Raw genomic sequence first — 15,914 nt, 5'->3', positions numbered from 1 at the left:
TACAGTTTCGGGGGCTTCCTTCTAACAGAGGGACACACTGAACATGTGCCACCAACAGGCTCAGCTCCTTCTCCAGGGCATGAGATAGCAGTCTGAAATTAATGTTGGAATTATCATATGGTAAATTTCTGTCATCTTTTCAGATTTCTATATATACCTGAGTGAGCAACAGCCTTGGCTTTGGTGAAATATTCGTATCATAGGGAATAACAGGGACAGCATTTTTACAAATATTAAATTGGTGCACTTAATTAACCACTTAGGACATATCCCCACAGCCTTCTACATGTGACACCAAGTCATGAGTTTTACTGCCCCAGGACAGGAGGACTGTAGGAAGATGTAAGACTTGTCTTCTAGCAAGACACACAGGCCACCACTTTGCTTCTGTGTAGAGAACACACCTCTGTGCACTCCTCTGGCCAGGTCTTGGGGGACAATGCTGTAGAAGGGAGAAGAGGAGACATGGGGAAGAAAGGGAAGGCACCCACCCTCCTGAAGATTCAGGGGAATGGGAGCAAAAGAAAAACGGAGGACAAGCACTGGTGAAAGATACTTGCTGCTAGCCCCACTCTGAAGACACAGAAGTTATTTAAATTATTACATCAGACATTTCACGACCCTCACCTCCTCTCCCAGCTTCTGCTGCAGAGGCAGTGGGAGGAAGCGCCCAATCATCTGAGGAGCAAAAATAAACAAACTACATTTTCTTTTTTCACTTTGCATTGGAATTTAATCCCATGATCAGCTGTAGTTAGAGTAACGTTTCAATAGTTAAAGTGGCATTGTGCTTACTATTTAGGTCCTAAATGCAGTTACTGTAAAGTTTCTATTTCTGAACAAGCTTTAGACAGCTAAGAGTCTTTCATTAGAACACAAATACGACAGACATCATATTGCCAGATGACCGTGTAAAATAACCCTAGAGCAAAAAGCTCTAAAACACAGCAAAAATGCTTACACAGTACACAGACCAGCCAGATCCACCCCGGCTTCCCTCTCATTCCCTGCTCCGGAACTCACTCCTGTGTGATTTTTCTGGAGACTAAAGAATGATGCATGTTATGTTCATTTAATTAAAGCTATTTGCTTTAGCTGTGTTAGATTCACAAAGACATTCCAACTATAATTTATTGACCCTTAACTGTTTTCTACCCGGCATACCCTATGAATTCCTTGACTACAAAATAACAGATTTGAATCAGGCTTTAGAGCCATGTTATTCCAGGGATTTCACTTGGAAGTTTATACACATTTGGAAAATGACTTTGAAACCTAATGTACTTCTTTTTAATTAAAAAAAAAAAAAGCTTTCTATTTATCATGGAATTAACATTCCAGTGCAAATTGCAAAAATAAAGAACCTAGCTTTTATAAATAAGTCATTAAAAGGTTAGCTTAGAGCCATTTAAAAAACAAGGCCACTGTATGCACAGTATGGAGCAAGCACCAATTTTTTAAAGGACTGTTAAAAAATACACAAAATCTACACTTAAAAATACATGAAATATATCTCAGAGGATATGCATGAAACTGGTAAGAATTATTGCTTCTAAACTATGTAAGGAGGGGTCTGGGATAGAGGTAGGGGGTCTGAAGACAGTATGTTAGAAAGGAGACTTCACTATCCCTTTCTGAACATTTTGTGTTTTGGACCACATTTTGTAATATTACCTATTAGAAATTTTAGCTCATACAAGAAGCTATCTTTTCTTAAAATTCTCTTGTTTATGCTTTAAGCAACAGATCTGCAAGATGCCCAACAAATTAAAACTCATTAAACATTGAGCTTTTGGAAGCATTCTTCATACCTTAAGCAAACACCATTCCCCCACTCAGCTTCACACAGTTGATCTTCATTTGATGTGAGCAGCATGCAAATTCTGTAAATCAAACAGGACCCAGAAACAGAAGTCTAGGATGGAATTTCCCATTCTTCCACTTTCCACGAACTTTGTCCCCTCATTTGTGAAATGGAGGCACTCAACTACCTCAGAGAATTTTCAAGAAAACTAGCCCAAATGAGAAGCTACGAAACCAGCCTGTAAACTGCCAAGACTTTGAACAAGCTTATTTTGTAGTATACTATCTTCCAAGTATGCACGTATATACCAATAGCCATAAAGAGGGTAGGGAACCATGATTTACCAATTAAATCAAGGTTCTTATTAACATTTTATCATAGAAGATGACTGATTAATTCAAGTGGGAGTGAACATTTACTAGGACTGACTAGAAAAAACTGTTGAGTAGCAATGGATTCTTAACAGAAAATGTGGGACTAGACCATTCACCCAAAGTGACAAGACCAGAAGAAATGACAGTAGTAAAGACTGCAGCGAATATACTATCTGGAACAGAACTATAAACTTAATTCATTTGCTCATAAGTTGCCAAAGAGGAAGATGGAAGATAACTGAAGAACCAAGAACTACTTAAGATCCAAAAAACAGAGTAAAAAATCCCAATTCTTACTTAAAGGCTAGATTTCTTTAAGGCATAGCTCATATTTTACTACTACAGAAAACTTTCCCTAATTTTTCCAGTCGATCCATTATTTCCTATATGATTACAGGTAATTAGATACTAATGTATTATGCTCCGTTTTAGGTGTGTATCTTGTAACCACAAAAAGATGGTATCCCCTTACAGACAAACAGCACAGCCCCCATTTGGTTAAAAATCTTCACAGCATCTACCCCAATGCACAGACTCTTGATAAACCTTTTTTAAACTAAATCACTCCTTATTCAAGTGAAATACAGTAATTTCTTTCAATGCATTTCTCTAAGAAATTCAAAAACTGGCCAGGCCCAGTGGCTCATGCCTGTAATCCCAGCACTTTTGGAGGTCAAAGCAGGTGGATCACGAGGTCAGGATTTCGAGACCAGCCTGGCCAACACAGTGAAACCCCGTCTCTACTAACAAAAAAAAAAAAACAAAAAAAACAAAAAAAAAAACGCCAGGCACGGTGGCTCACGCCTGTAATCCCAGCACTGTGGGAGGCCAAGGCAGGTGGATCACAAGGTCAGGAGATCGAGACCATCATGGCTAACATGGTGAAACCCCATCTCTACTAAAAATACAAAAACTTAGCTGGGCGTCGTGGCGGGTGCCTGTAGTCCCAGCTACTCGGGAGGCTGAGGCAGGAGAATGGCGTGAACCTGGGATGCGGAGTTTGCAGTGAGCCGAGATCGTGCCACTGCACTCCAGCCTGGGCAACAGAGCGAGACTCCCTCTCAAAAAACAAACAAACAAACAAACAAACAAACAAACAAAATTATCTGCGTGTGGAGGCACGTGCCTGTAATCGCAGCTACTCGGGAGGCTGAGGCAGGAGAATGACTTGAACCCGGGAGGCAGAGGTTGCAATGAGCCAAGACCAGGCCATTGCACTCCAGCCTGGGCGACAGAACAAGACTCTGTCTCAAAAAATAAATAATAAATAAATAAATTCAAAAACTATCATGGGCATACATTTTCTTTGATTTCACCAAAAAATTAATTAAACATAAATATACAACCACCACAACCACACACCAGCATTCTAACTTGGAAGAGGGTATAATATTTTTACTTTGGAAAAGCTGAAATATGTTTCCACAGGGCAACAATCGGGCACATAGAGTTACAGTGCAGCATATTAAACTTGATTAGAACTTTTTAAAGTTTCTGTAAATCAGCAAAGTATGATGGCAGTAGCCAGAGGCTGGTGGAGGGGGAGAAAGGGGAGTTGTTCAATGGGCAGTTTCAGTTTTGCAAGAGAAAAAAGTTCTACAAATCAGTTGTACAACAATGTGCATTGAGTTAATACTGCTGTACCATACACTTATTGTTGGTTACAATGGTAAATTTTATGTTATTTTACGTTAATAAAGGGTCTGTAAATAGGGAAAATTTGCATATTCAATTAACTAAAAAGCTACATACCTGGAAAAATATTAGAGGTCTTCCAATTTTTACAAAGAACATCTACTTCATTTAAGTTAAGGTCCCAAAAAGCAAGTAGTTAGCTTAGAGAAAAGTAAGCTCTTGCAATTTATCTAAGAATAACTAAATTGTAATGCTACTGGGTAAGATGGCATTCCTTAAACTTCCTCCAAATCTTTTTCATAAAACATTCTTACAGCAAGATATCTTCCAGGAAAAGTACCAATGACAACAAAAAATAGGCAGTAATAATTTGGGACTGCGATTAGGCTTAGCTAACTTTTGTTTATATGAAAGCTCCTCTTGTGCATGTCTTAAAGAGTCCAATAGTTCTATATGATTTATTGTGAACACAACAGCCTATTGTCCATAAACTCCTCAATTATTCTCCAAAAGCAAATTATTTTCAACTCTTTCATCTGTTGTATTTACCTCTACCTCTAAATAACATGCTTACAGTCCTACTTCCTGATTGTAAGCATTACCCACTGGCTTCCTACATGGAAGATGATGAACATTCAGCTCTCTTTCACCTCCCATCAAGACCTTGCTTACATATTTCTCCTATGCCTGTCCCGCCAATATTCTCCTCTCACAACTTGAGTAGGTCTAGTCCATGTTAATACTATGAAGGAAAACTTGGCAGAATCTAACAAAATGGAAAAATGCACTTACCAGGCATCAATAAGAATTCATGTTTAGCTCAAGAGATAACACAATCACATATAAAAATATTTATAAATATATGTACATACATGAGTTAGTCCACACACATGCATCTCCTTAATCTGTCAACTGAGAGGGCCTAGAAGCAGTGACACCCCAAGTAGCAATAAGCACTCTTTGTGCTCAACTCTTGGTTTCTAATACCACTCTCCTTTAAAGACAACCAGGGCTCCTTGGAGAAATGGCTCATTATAGGATTGGAACAGAAAATATACACAATGAACATGGAATGCACCTTCTAGTGCCAGAAAAGAAGAAAGTACTTAGAAAGACAAAAACAAAAGCAAACTAAGATGGGTATGTCAAATGGACACAGGACACAGCTGAAAGAGCTCTCAATGGACAAAGGTGGAACAAAATAGAGTATTATAAACCAAAAGATGAAGTAAACATCTATGAATCAATACTGATAGAAATGCTTGAATACATACATACATTAATGAATGAAAGAATAGTAGGTAGGTAGGCAGGTAGGTAGGTAGGTAGGTAGATAAGAGACAAATCACCCATGCAGAAGAATTTTAAATAAGTAGATACTCTGCCCTCAAGGAGGGGGATGGTTAACTCCCCACTTCTTAAGTGTGGACTGTCCATATTACTTCCTTCCAAAGAGTAAAGTGTGGAAAGGGATGGGAGGGAAATAACTTTACACTGTAAAACCTGGTAAGTGCTACCTCAGCCAGGTGATCAAGGTTAACATCAATAGTCATAAGTCATGGTGATAGCATGTACCCTTGATGTAACATGATGAGAATGACATTTGACTTCTGTAACCCTGGTCTAACCATAAGAAAAATATCAGACAAATTCCAACAGAAGATAACCCTACAATATACCTGACTAGTACTCCTCAAAACTGTCAAACATCACTGAAACTGAGAAAATGTCACAGCCAAGAGAAGCCTAGGGAGATATGAGAACTAAATGTAATATAATATCCTGAATAAGATCCTGAAATGGAAAAGGGTCATTAGGTTAAAACTAAGGAAATCCAAAGTATGGACTGACTTTTATAATAATCAATATTGGTTCATTAATTATAATAAATGTATCATATTAATGCAAAATGTTAATAATGGGAGAAACTGTTTGCAAGGGTGAGAGAATGCATGGGAACTCTGTACTATCTTCTCAATTTCTCTGTAAATCTAAAAAGTTTTTTTAACATTTTTGAAATAAAAACAAGGGACTGGCCAAACTGTGGTACATCCACACAATGAAGGACTAAGAGGCCACAAAAAGGAACAGAGAACATCAAGTAATCACTAGGATATTGTTAAGTTAAAAAAAAAGGCAAGGTATCCAACAGTATATATAGTATGCTAATTACTATGTAAGGAGAAAGAAGAAATAAGAAGATATAAGTATTTGCATATTTTTTGCAAAAATAAAAACTGGAAGATTAAAAACTAGTAAGAAATGGTTACATCTGAAGATGGGGTAAAGGGAATTGTGTGAAAAGATGGAGATAGAAGCAAAACTTCTGCACATCTTTATATAGTTTTGACTCTTGAATATGTCAAGGTATTACATATTCAAAATATAAAATTAGTTCATAAGGGAAAAAAATCAAACCCTAAAATGGAAAACAAACTGAAACAGTGTACCTTACTGCAGAGAGAATCATTTTAAGTGAAACACAGTGTAAAGCTTAAAAAAAAAAAATTTCACATACTTTTAATGTATCAGATTATAATTCTCAAGCCAATATGTTTGTAGCAAGATGAAGCAGGTAAGTAACCATGTTCATTTACTAGAAATCATTTGATTGTTCATGTAATAGAAATGAAATAAACATAAAATTGAAGAAATTACTAAAAACTCTTTCTTGTTAAATAGGAAATGCTAAAGATAAGCTGGAAATAGGAAAACCCCCACATACATGCACACACATGCAGATATGTGTGTCTCCATCCATTTACCCACTGATGGGGCCTAGACACAACATCCCAGTAGCAATGAGCACCTTTAGCACCCAGATCTTGCTTTCTAAATACCATTCCCCACTAGAAAGAAGCAGAGTTCCTTAGACAAAAGGCTCTTTGGAGATCTGAGGCAGGAAAATTACAAGCGCCTGGGACATCTTTCTGTGCCAGAAAGCAAGGAGATGTCCCATGACAAATGGTGTCATGTCAAAAGTTTACAAGGAGCTAGAAGGGTCTCTGGCCAATTTTGGGGCAATTTTAACACGAAATTTAACAGAAGTGTACTTGGTTGTAAAATACAGAATAAATAAAACTTCATGAGCCCATAACAATGATCAAAAATAAACTTTTTTTCGTTCTTTTTTTTTTTTTTCTTTTTTTTTTTGAGACGGAGTCTACCTCTGTTACCAGGCTGGAGTGCAGTGGTGCGATCTCAGCTCACTACAACCTCCGCCTCCCAGGTTCAAGCGATTCTCCTGCCTCAGCCTCCTGAGTAGCTGGGATTACAGGCACATGCCGCCATGCCCAGTTAATTTTTGTATTTTTAGTAGAGATGGGGTTTCACCATGTTGGCCAGGATGGTCTTGATCTCCTGACCTCGTGATCCACCCACCTTAGCCTCCCAAAGTGCTGGAATTACAGGTGTGAGCCACCGCACACAGCCTAAACTTTTTTAATAAATAAAAAAATAGAGAAACATTTTTCACCACTGTGGAGATGCAACAATTTCTACTCCCAAAATTGAAATCAAAGGAAAAGAATTTAGCATTTATTCTGCCTTTTTTAGAAAGAACTGTAATTTATCACATGAGAGAAAGCCCTCATTTACTGAAGAATGCCTACATCTTGCCATTCCCAAAGAAATAACTATTCCAGGCTCAGTTCATCAACAGATGTTAAAACTTTTAGGTAAAAGATTATTGAGGAATGGAATAGCTGCAGGTACCAAAGTCTCACCCCCAATAGCCCCATTCCTTCTATTGGAGAATGGTTTTTACCAGATAGCCAGAGTTACCTCACCGGTTAAAACCTATTTTTCATGCCTAAGCAAAGTGTGAATTTAAACTAAGCTTATACAAGCACTTCTGTCCAATCTTCAGGATTACTTTCAGCATAAACAAGGCAGATATCGCCTTTATGACAAATGAGATAGAAGGAACACTGTGAAAATGTGGAGGCAATCTTGACAAAACTAAACGCTTGTCCCTGGAATCAAAAAAGTTAGTATGCAATGTCTTCACAGACCCAAACTGCAAGTAAGCTGGTAGGCTTAGATAAGAAACCAGACTGTCAATTATGAGTTTAGCAGGACTTATTTTTGCAGTCCAAATGGCTCAGTGAATATGTCACAAATTAATTACCCACTGTGAAAGAAGGGTGGCTGTTTATTCTTTGTATTTTGGGAGCGATAAGGATAGTGGTTACAAGAGTATAGTCAACCAAGAAAAGTCTCTCATCTGACTCAAATCCCCACAAAACCTCAGGTGGCACAGAGGAAATGACTAGGGGTAAACAGAGCAGTGCCCCAGGCAGTTTAACCACGAAGCATTTTAAGCTTCTTTGAATCTATCTGTTCCCCCAAAAAAGACCTCATGCGCATGATATGTCTTGTCACTTTTCACCATATTGAATACCCAAAAATTCCTAGGCAGAATTAAGGCTGCTCATCTTGCAAGCAGTTTCATATTTCTTTCTCTAGTTGCCATGGCACCCTGGACTTTGCTTTGCTCCTCCTGTTCCCCATAGCACCCATGAGAACAAGAGTTCTGACTCCTCAGATGCTGCTCAGAGCCACCAGTCCCGCAGCCTGCTTCCTGCCAGCATCTTTCCACCTAGAGATGCTTGTTGCCTCCAGTGGCCCAGACCCACACCACACACAGGCCACCAGCAGCTATCACCTCACAGCGAGGAGTGAGGAGCAGGCACTCTAGTGGCAGGTGCCTGGGCAGGGATCCAACTCCATCTAGGCCAGCAAGTTACTTAACTTCTCTGAGACTCAGGTCCCTCATACACAAAATGGAATAATGAAACCTACATTGCAAGGTTACAGATAAAGTCTGCAAAGTTCCCAACGGAGTAACACAGGATAATCAATAAATACTGGCTGGTAACAGCAGTTCTAAGTAGCAGTTGTCGCATATTATCAATGGTCTACATTTACTGTATGCCAGTCACTGTTCTAAACACTTTAAAGGTATCGATTCATTTCATTCTTAAAAAGTACTATCAGGCCAGGTGTGGTAGCTCACGCCTGTAATCCCAGCCCTTTGGGAGGCCAAGGTGGGCAGATCACCTGAGGTCAGGAGTTCAAGACCAACCTGGCCAACATGGTGAAACCTCGTCTCTACAAAAATTAGAGGAGCACGATGGCAGGTGCCTGTAATCCCAGCTACTTGGGAGGCTGAGGTGGGAGAATTGCTTGAACCTGAGAGCGGAGGTTGGCGTGAGCCGAGATCACACCAATGCACTCCAGCCTGAGCAACAGAGGAGACTCCATCTCAAATAAAAATAAATAAATAAATAAGTACTGTCAATTATCCTTATTTTTTTACAGACAAGAAACTGAGGGAAAGAGTCATAACAATAATAGTAATAATAAACCCTTCCATGGCTTTTCATCATGCACCAGAGGGAACTCACATATCTCACTCTGGCAAACAAACCTTCACACAGGCTTTCAGCACCTCCCCACTGGTAACTGATGCTCAAGCTGAAGTTAAATCCTGGAGGTGCAACAAGTCAAACTATTTGATAACGTATTTCTCTGCAGACTTCATCCTTCTGTCAGAAATGCCCTTCCCTGAACAACAGCCCACTCCAGCTGTGTCCTCCTAGGAAGCGTCTCTTCTTGCAAAAGTATACACCTAAGTCACTTCCTCTGTGAATCTCCTGGATGTCCCAAGTTCCCTCAGTGGCTTATTCCTTAAGACTTCCTCTGTATTTTCTTCCTGTCACTATGAAGTCTTCCTTCTCTAATATTTGATTGTTTGGATGCATGTCCCCTACTCATACTGCAAATACCTAGAGGGCAGTGATTACACTGTCACACTCTTGTCCTCACTGACCAGTGGTGTCCAGCACAGGCTCTGGAGCCAAGTTTGGACACTTACGCTGAGGGGTTCTGTGCACCACCTGCACATCACCATCCTCATCCACGAAATGAGAATAACGTATCTCTTTCACAGGCTATCTGAATAATAAGTCATAAAACGGACAAAATATACATAGAACCCAGCAAACATTTACTAATGAAATGGGGAACACTGTATCACTGCACAACAGAAGAACCGTGGCAGAGAGCCAATAGACCTGGTGAGGGACTGACCATTTTCAAACAGGCCAAAAAAAAAAAAAAAACAACCCCACAACAGCAAGGGATGGGGCATTCCCATGGCTGACAAGCTTCTCCAAACAACCTAGATCATTACCCAGCACACATCGGGAGCTGATTCAACCTTGAAATGCAGTTAGCACCGTATCCCTGCTTATCACAATACCGGGGATTCCATAAGTGCTCAAGAAATGCTGTTAACAGTGACAGCAATAACAGCAATAAATGCTGTAGTTATTATTAGTTGATTCAGCAACAATAAGACTCCTCATGGGGAAAATTCCTATAAATAAATGTACAAAATTCCGTTATTTACTATAAAGTCATATTTCCTAATCTGTTCAAAGACTTCAATTGCATAACTCAATGTGAGTTTTACTTTTTCATTTTTAAGTATTAGCTAGCCTGTTTTAAATAATTTTCTCTGGTGAGCTCAAAATATTTAAGGCAGCTGAACAATCTTGTTCTCTTAAAAATGAAACTTAATTCAACTCTAAAAATATCTGAAACCGAACATGCATTATTTCTGGCGTACTCTCCCTCAAGTAGCAACATCAACTATTTCATGACATTTTCTAAACATCGTGTCCACCTAAACCTTTTTTTTTTTTCAGGTCTCACAAGGACTAAGAATTACAAACTCTTCTTTCAGGCTTCCCTAATTCCCCTCTATTTAAAATCTCTGTCCTGATACTCAGATTTGTCCAAGTCAAATATTTCATTACCCACTTTGAAGTTACACATGAGACCTCACTCAGAAACCCAAGGCGCTTCTCACTCCTCTCACTTTTGTGTATACAGTGTACTGGGTACATCTTTGCTGACTGCAAGCTCCCCAGGGCAGCAACCCATTTAATCTACATTTGAGATCTGTAACTCTCTGCATAACGACAGTAAGGATCTCTGTGTTGCTCCTTGTTGCTGTGAGCCCACTTAACTTTGGGAAAAGTTCCCTTCAATAAAATCAAACAGCAGTGCTTTATAGCTCTGCTCCAATGCTGAAAGTAGGAACTGAAAATAAAACACGTTTCTATTACAAAGGAATAAAAGTCATTTCTACCGAAAACACTTTACAAATCCTAATAACAATCATCAAGACAACGGAAGTCATAAAACCAATGCCAGAAAAGGATGACACTTGATAGTCAATCTTTTCCCAAACGTGCTGAATGATTCTTTTTGCTATCAATGCCAGAACACAGAACCTATTACTAGAAGTTAATCTTCTGAAGTGTATGTGATTTAATCCAATTCAACACATATATATGTGTGTACTCCCTTGGCTGTATCCCTTGCTAGGAGTGTGAAACTTGCTACATTACATTATGGCTATGTCTACACAGCCAAATGCTTTCAAATATACTGTATAATTTGCTTTTAAAAGTTGAAAAAGCTGCTGACGACAAAGGCGAATGTCAGAGGTATCAGGTGTAACAAAGTGATAGTAAAACAAGATTAGATATTTGGAAAACATGCTCTTTTCATATAGTATAAACAGAATCCTTCATTTTCAATTAAAATACATATAAGAATATAGAGAAAGGAACTGTATATTTACACAGGTAAATTACTAATTACAAAGGGTAGAATAGTAACTTTGAAGGAGAAAAATCCGATAGACACCACCTTACCCAAATCATCAAAGTTACCACCATCAGTATTGGGATATGATACACTGATACATTCACAGCATCACCTCCAGGCTATTCCAAGCAAAGGTATGTAACTTAAATCTATTAATGAGAAACTGGAGAAAGGAAAAATCAATGGACAGTCTACAAAATAACTGGTGTGCCTCCTTCAAAAATATCAAGGTCAAAAGAAAATGGCTAATGAACTGTTCTAGATTAAAGACAACTAAAAAAACATGACAAAGGCAACACAGACACTGGATTGAATCAAGGTTGAAAAGACTGATGTCTGGAGAAGCTAAGGACTTTGCATTAAATCACCTTGTCTCTTAGTGGCAGCACTGATAAAAGTAAAGCCCAAAGCTCCCTCTGAGATGGTAGACCTGGGAACTTAGGGGTAAACTCCTGAAATTCATACATTTTAAAAATATTTCTCTTTTTAGCCTTTGGCCTGTCTTAGTTCAAAGCCTGGATACTCTAACATAAGAAATATTATTATAGGCACTTGATCTTCATGGAGTTAATATTCACAATTTTAAATATACATTAATAATCATAAAAACCCATGAACTGCAATATACTGTAAATCAACTGGATCAAAAAACAGAATCGTATGTTATCTGGCTTACAGAGGAAGAAAAAATACAGCTAGTGACTAAACCTAATAATCCATCCATTATGGGTATGCAAAAAATAAAAGTTTTAACTTTTTGGTGGGGAGAAAAATAACCCTCCAAAGTCCAACCAGCCATAGTGATAAGGAAATTAATGGTAAAACTAATGAATCCAACAAGTCCATAACGTTCTTAAGTAGAAACTGGAGCTATACTTCCCTCCATTTCTCCATTTAGTAGGGGAAATCATGTGGTCCTGGTGAAACACTCATATCTGGGATTTCCCAGAAATTACATAACCTTTCCAAATTATCAAGATCTATCAAACTGTTTTTTGTTTTTGTTTGTTTGTTTGTTTTTTGAGGGAGAGGGTCTCTCTCTGTTGCCCAGGCTGGAGTGCAGTGGCTCAATCCCAGCTCACTGCAGCCTCAACTTCCTAGACTCAAGCTATCCCCTCACCTCAGCCTCCTGAGTAGCTGGGAATACAGGTGTGCACCACCACACCTTACTAATTTTTTTGGTGGGGAGGGTTGGAGAGACAAAGTCTCACTATGTTGCCTAGATTGGTCTTAAACTTCTGGGCTCAAGCGATCTTCCTGCCCTGTTCTCCCAAAGTGGTGGGATTATAGGCATGAGCCACCATGCCTGGCTTGAACTCTTATTTGCTCTAAAATCGTTTTAAGTTTCAGTTGTAAAAATCATTCCTGCACTTCCTTTTTGCATTTTTGTAGCAGTCGAAGTCAGATTAAATTGAACATCAGGAAAAACACTGACAAGAACATGTTACCAAAAAAATATATATTAAGAGAACATAAGGAATGGAGTAGTCTCTCCGATATAGCTGGTGATAATGAAAGTTTCAAGGATTATCAATTGGGAGAAATTTTTTTAAATACATACATACACAGATGCAGAAATATGTAATCACATCACACACACACACAAACATAAATGTTTCAGGCCTAATTATTCATTTATTTATTTTAAAGATTACTGACCACCTTGTGTATGCCAAGTACTGTCTTCAGAGACTCAGCACTGAACAAATCTAGCGAAGTCCTTCATGGAGCCTGTGTTGTACTTGGGAGTGGATGTAGACAGATGATCAAAAATTAATAAAAAATATAACATCAGATGGTGTTAAGAACAATGAAGAAAAATAAAGCAGAATAAGAAGACAGTAACAGGGAGATATTTTGGCAGCAGTGGTTGGAGAAGGCTTTTCTTAGGAAGCGCGTCTGGGCAGAGACCACAGTGGAGCAAGGGAGCAGGCCCATGTGCACCCACAGGTGAAGGAAGAGCCGCGCCCACAGGTCAGCAGAGCTCTGAGTTTGGAATGTGCAGGCAGGTCGCTGGCGTCGCTGAGTTACACAATCTGAGTGGGACAAGGGGCCATGCAAGAATTCTGGGCATAAGGGTGGCGTAATTTCTGCCCTAACAGGATCATTCTGGCTACAAAGTGGAAAGCTGACATTAGAGGAAGAAAAACAAAAACAAGAAGATTGGCTAAAACCCTGCCATAGACAGGCAAAGGTGGTGGTGGTTTGGCCAGAGTAACAGCAGGGACACAGAAGACCAAGTTTTCAGATTCTGGTTTTATTTTGAAAGTAAAGATGACAAGATTGTTGACGGACTGAATGTAGGATTTTGAGAGAAAGATAAATACCAGGAATGACAATTTGGCTCTTACCCTTACCCATCCAATAACTACACATAACATTTACTAAGAAGAAATGTCAGGAAGAAACAGTTAAGGGATGACAAGAAATCAAGACCTTGATTTGATATACATTATGGTTCAGATGCCGATTCAGACACTTCAGATGTCATCAAAGTGAAGGTGGCTAGTAAGCAATTGGATATCCAGGTCCTGGGGAGAAGTATTAATAAATCCAATGGAGACTGGTTGGGCAGTGGCTCACCCTGTAATCCCAGTACTCTGGGTGGTGCAGGTGAGAGGATCACTTGAGCCCAGGCATTCCAAAAAAGCCTGGGCAACACAGTGAGACCCTGTCTCTACAAAACATTAAAGAATTAGCCAGGCATGGTGACACACGCCTATAGTCCCAACAACTTGAGAGGCTGAGGCAGGAAGATCACTTCAGCCCAGGAGTTTGAGGAAGCAGTGAGTTATGATCATGCCACTGCACTCCAACATGGGTGACTGAGACCCCCCACCTCTAAAAATAAATAAATAAATAAGTTAATCCAGTGGAGATACACACACACACACACACACACACACACACACACAAATGTAGATATATGAAGAAATATGTGTGTGTGAAGGCTGAACTTTGCTGAATGAATGAAACTTCAAAAAGGATAACAGAGGAGAAGGGAGAAGAGAAACCTGAACATCATGTTGTATCTACTTCAGCACTATTTGAAAATTTTGTAATGAAAATGTATTACTTTAGTAATAAAAAGGGGCACTTCTTTTGTATTCCCTCAAATAAAATAAAATGCTGATGGGGGGAATAAACTCAGAGAAATATAAAGATAATAGAAGACCACCGTGAAAACAACACTAAGAGGCCATCACTGTTAACTTGTGGATTACTACCTTCTAGTATTTTTTCCTGGGCATTTCTTCTCTAAAATACAGTTTCTTTTTGCTTATTTCTTTTAACACGTATAGGATGATGCTGAACTCAAAGATGGCAGCCACAGAATTCAGACCATGTTTTTGTTTTTAATTTTAAGTGTTCATGCTTTTTAGAGTGTGCTCCAATCACACCACTCCCCACCACTTTATACCCCAACTCATTTATCCAGGGCACCACCTGGCATCTGAAGACGTCTGTACTTTCTGTCCCTCCTCCTCAGAGATTTGTGATTGGACTCTCCCTTACAAAACCATAAGCTGTTTTCATTTCATAAGGAATTATTTATAAACCCAATCTCTAAATGGTCATATTTATATATAACTCTTTATGTACATTTCTGGTTTAGCATCACATCTTCTACAAAGCATGCTTTAGCACCACCTCAAGAAGTCACAGTCTAGAAACCAACATAGTGGGGACTCTGACTCAAAATACTGACCATGGCCAGCATAACTCTGGACACTGGGGACTTGGTGAGAATAAGACCAACATTCCTGCCCTTATGGGCCTTACATTTTAGTGTATGTGAGGTGGGGCACAGAGTGACAGATACAAATATTTTAAACATAATTTCAGATATTGAGATGGACATTGAATAAAATAATAACGTGAGAACATAACCAGAAGTAGAGGGAGAAGAGAGAAAGAGAGGGAATGCAATTTAGGTAGGTGGCCAGAGAAAGCCTCCTGCAGAAATGACATTTGAGCCAAAGCTGCAATGAAGAGACAGAAGCATGCAAATATTCCAGAGAAGACCAACCAAGTACAACAAACAAGAAACACAGAAGCCCTGAAAAGGGAAGGAGCTCTGCTCAGCATATTAGGGAGATAGAAGGAAGGCACTGTGGCTGGAACATCACAGGAAGGGGGGGAGCCGGGGGTGGGGGCAGATCAGCGATGACTTCACTGGCCACAGTAAAGAATCTGGATCTGTATTCCCACTGTAATAAAAAATTGCTGCAAATTTATAAATAGAAACACAATATACCATTTAGGTTTGGAGATTAGTATAGTAGTTATGCAGAGAATACAATGTAAGGAGCAAAAGTAACAGCAGAGAAAGCTGCTAGAAGGCTGTGACTCCAACCAGTTAAGAGATGTCGGTGGCTTGAACCAGCATTTCAACAGCTGTGGTGGTGAAAAGTGTT

The 15,914-nt window shown here is 39.2% G+C and overlaps 1 protein-coding gene across 24 annotated transcripts in view; it reads right to left on the bottom strand.

Annotated features, from left to right (window-relative positions):
* Window positions 1–15,914, bottom strand: part of MED12L (mediator complex subunit 12L) — a 350,990-nt gene that overhangs the window by 292,527 nt on the left and 42,549 nt on the right. The window lies entirely within an intron of this gene.

The sequence above is a fragment of the Homo sapiens genome, chromosome 3 (genome assembly GCF_000001405.40).
Source record: "Homo sapiens chromosome 3, GRCh38.p14 Primary Assembly".
NCBI classification, from domain to species: Eukaryota; Metazoa; Chordata; class Mammalia; order Primates; family Hominidae; genus Homo; species Homo sapiens.
This window is presented reverse-complemented; position numbering and strand designations above follow the sequence as displayed.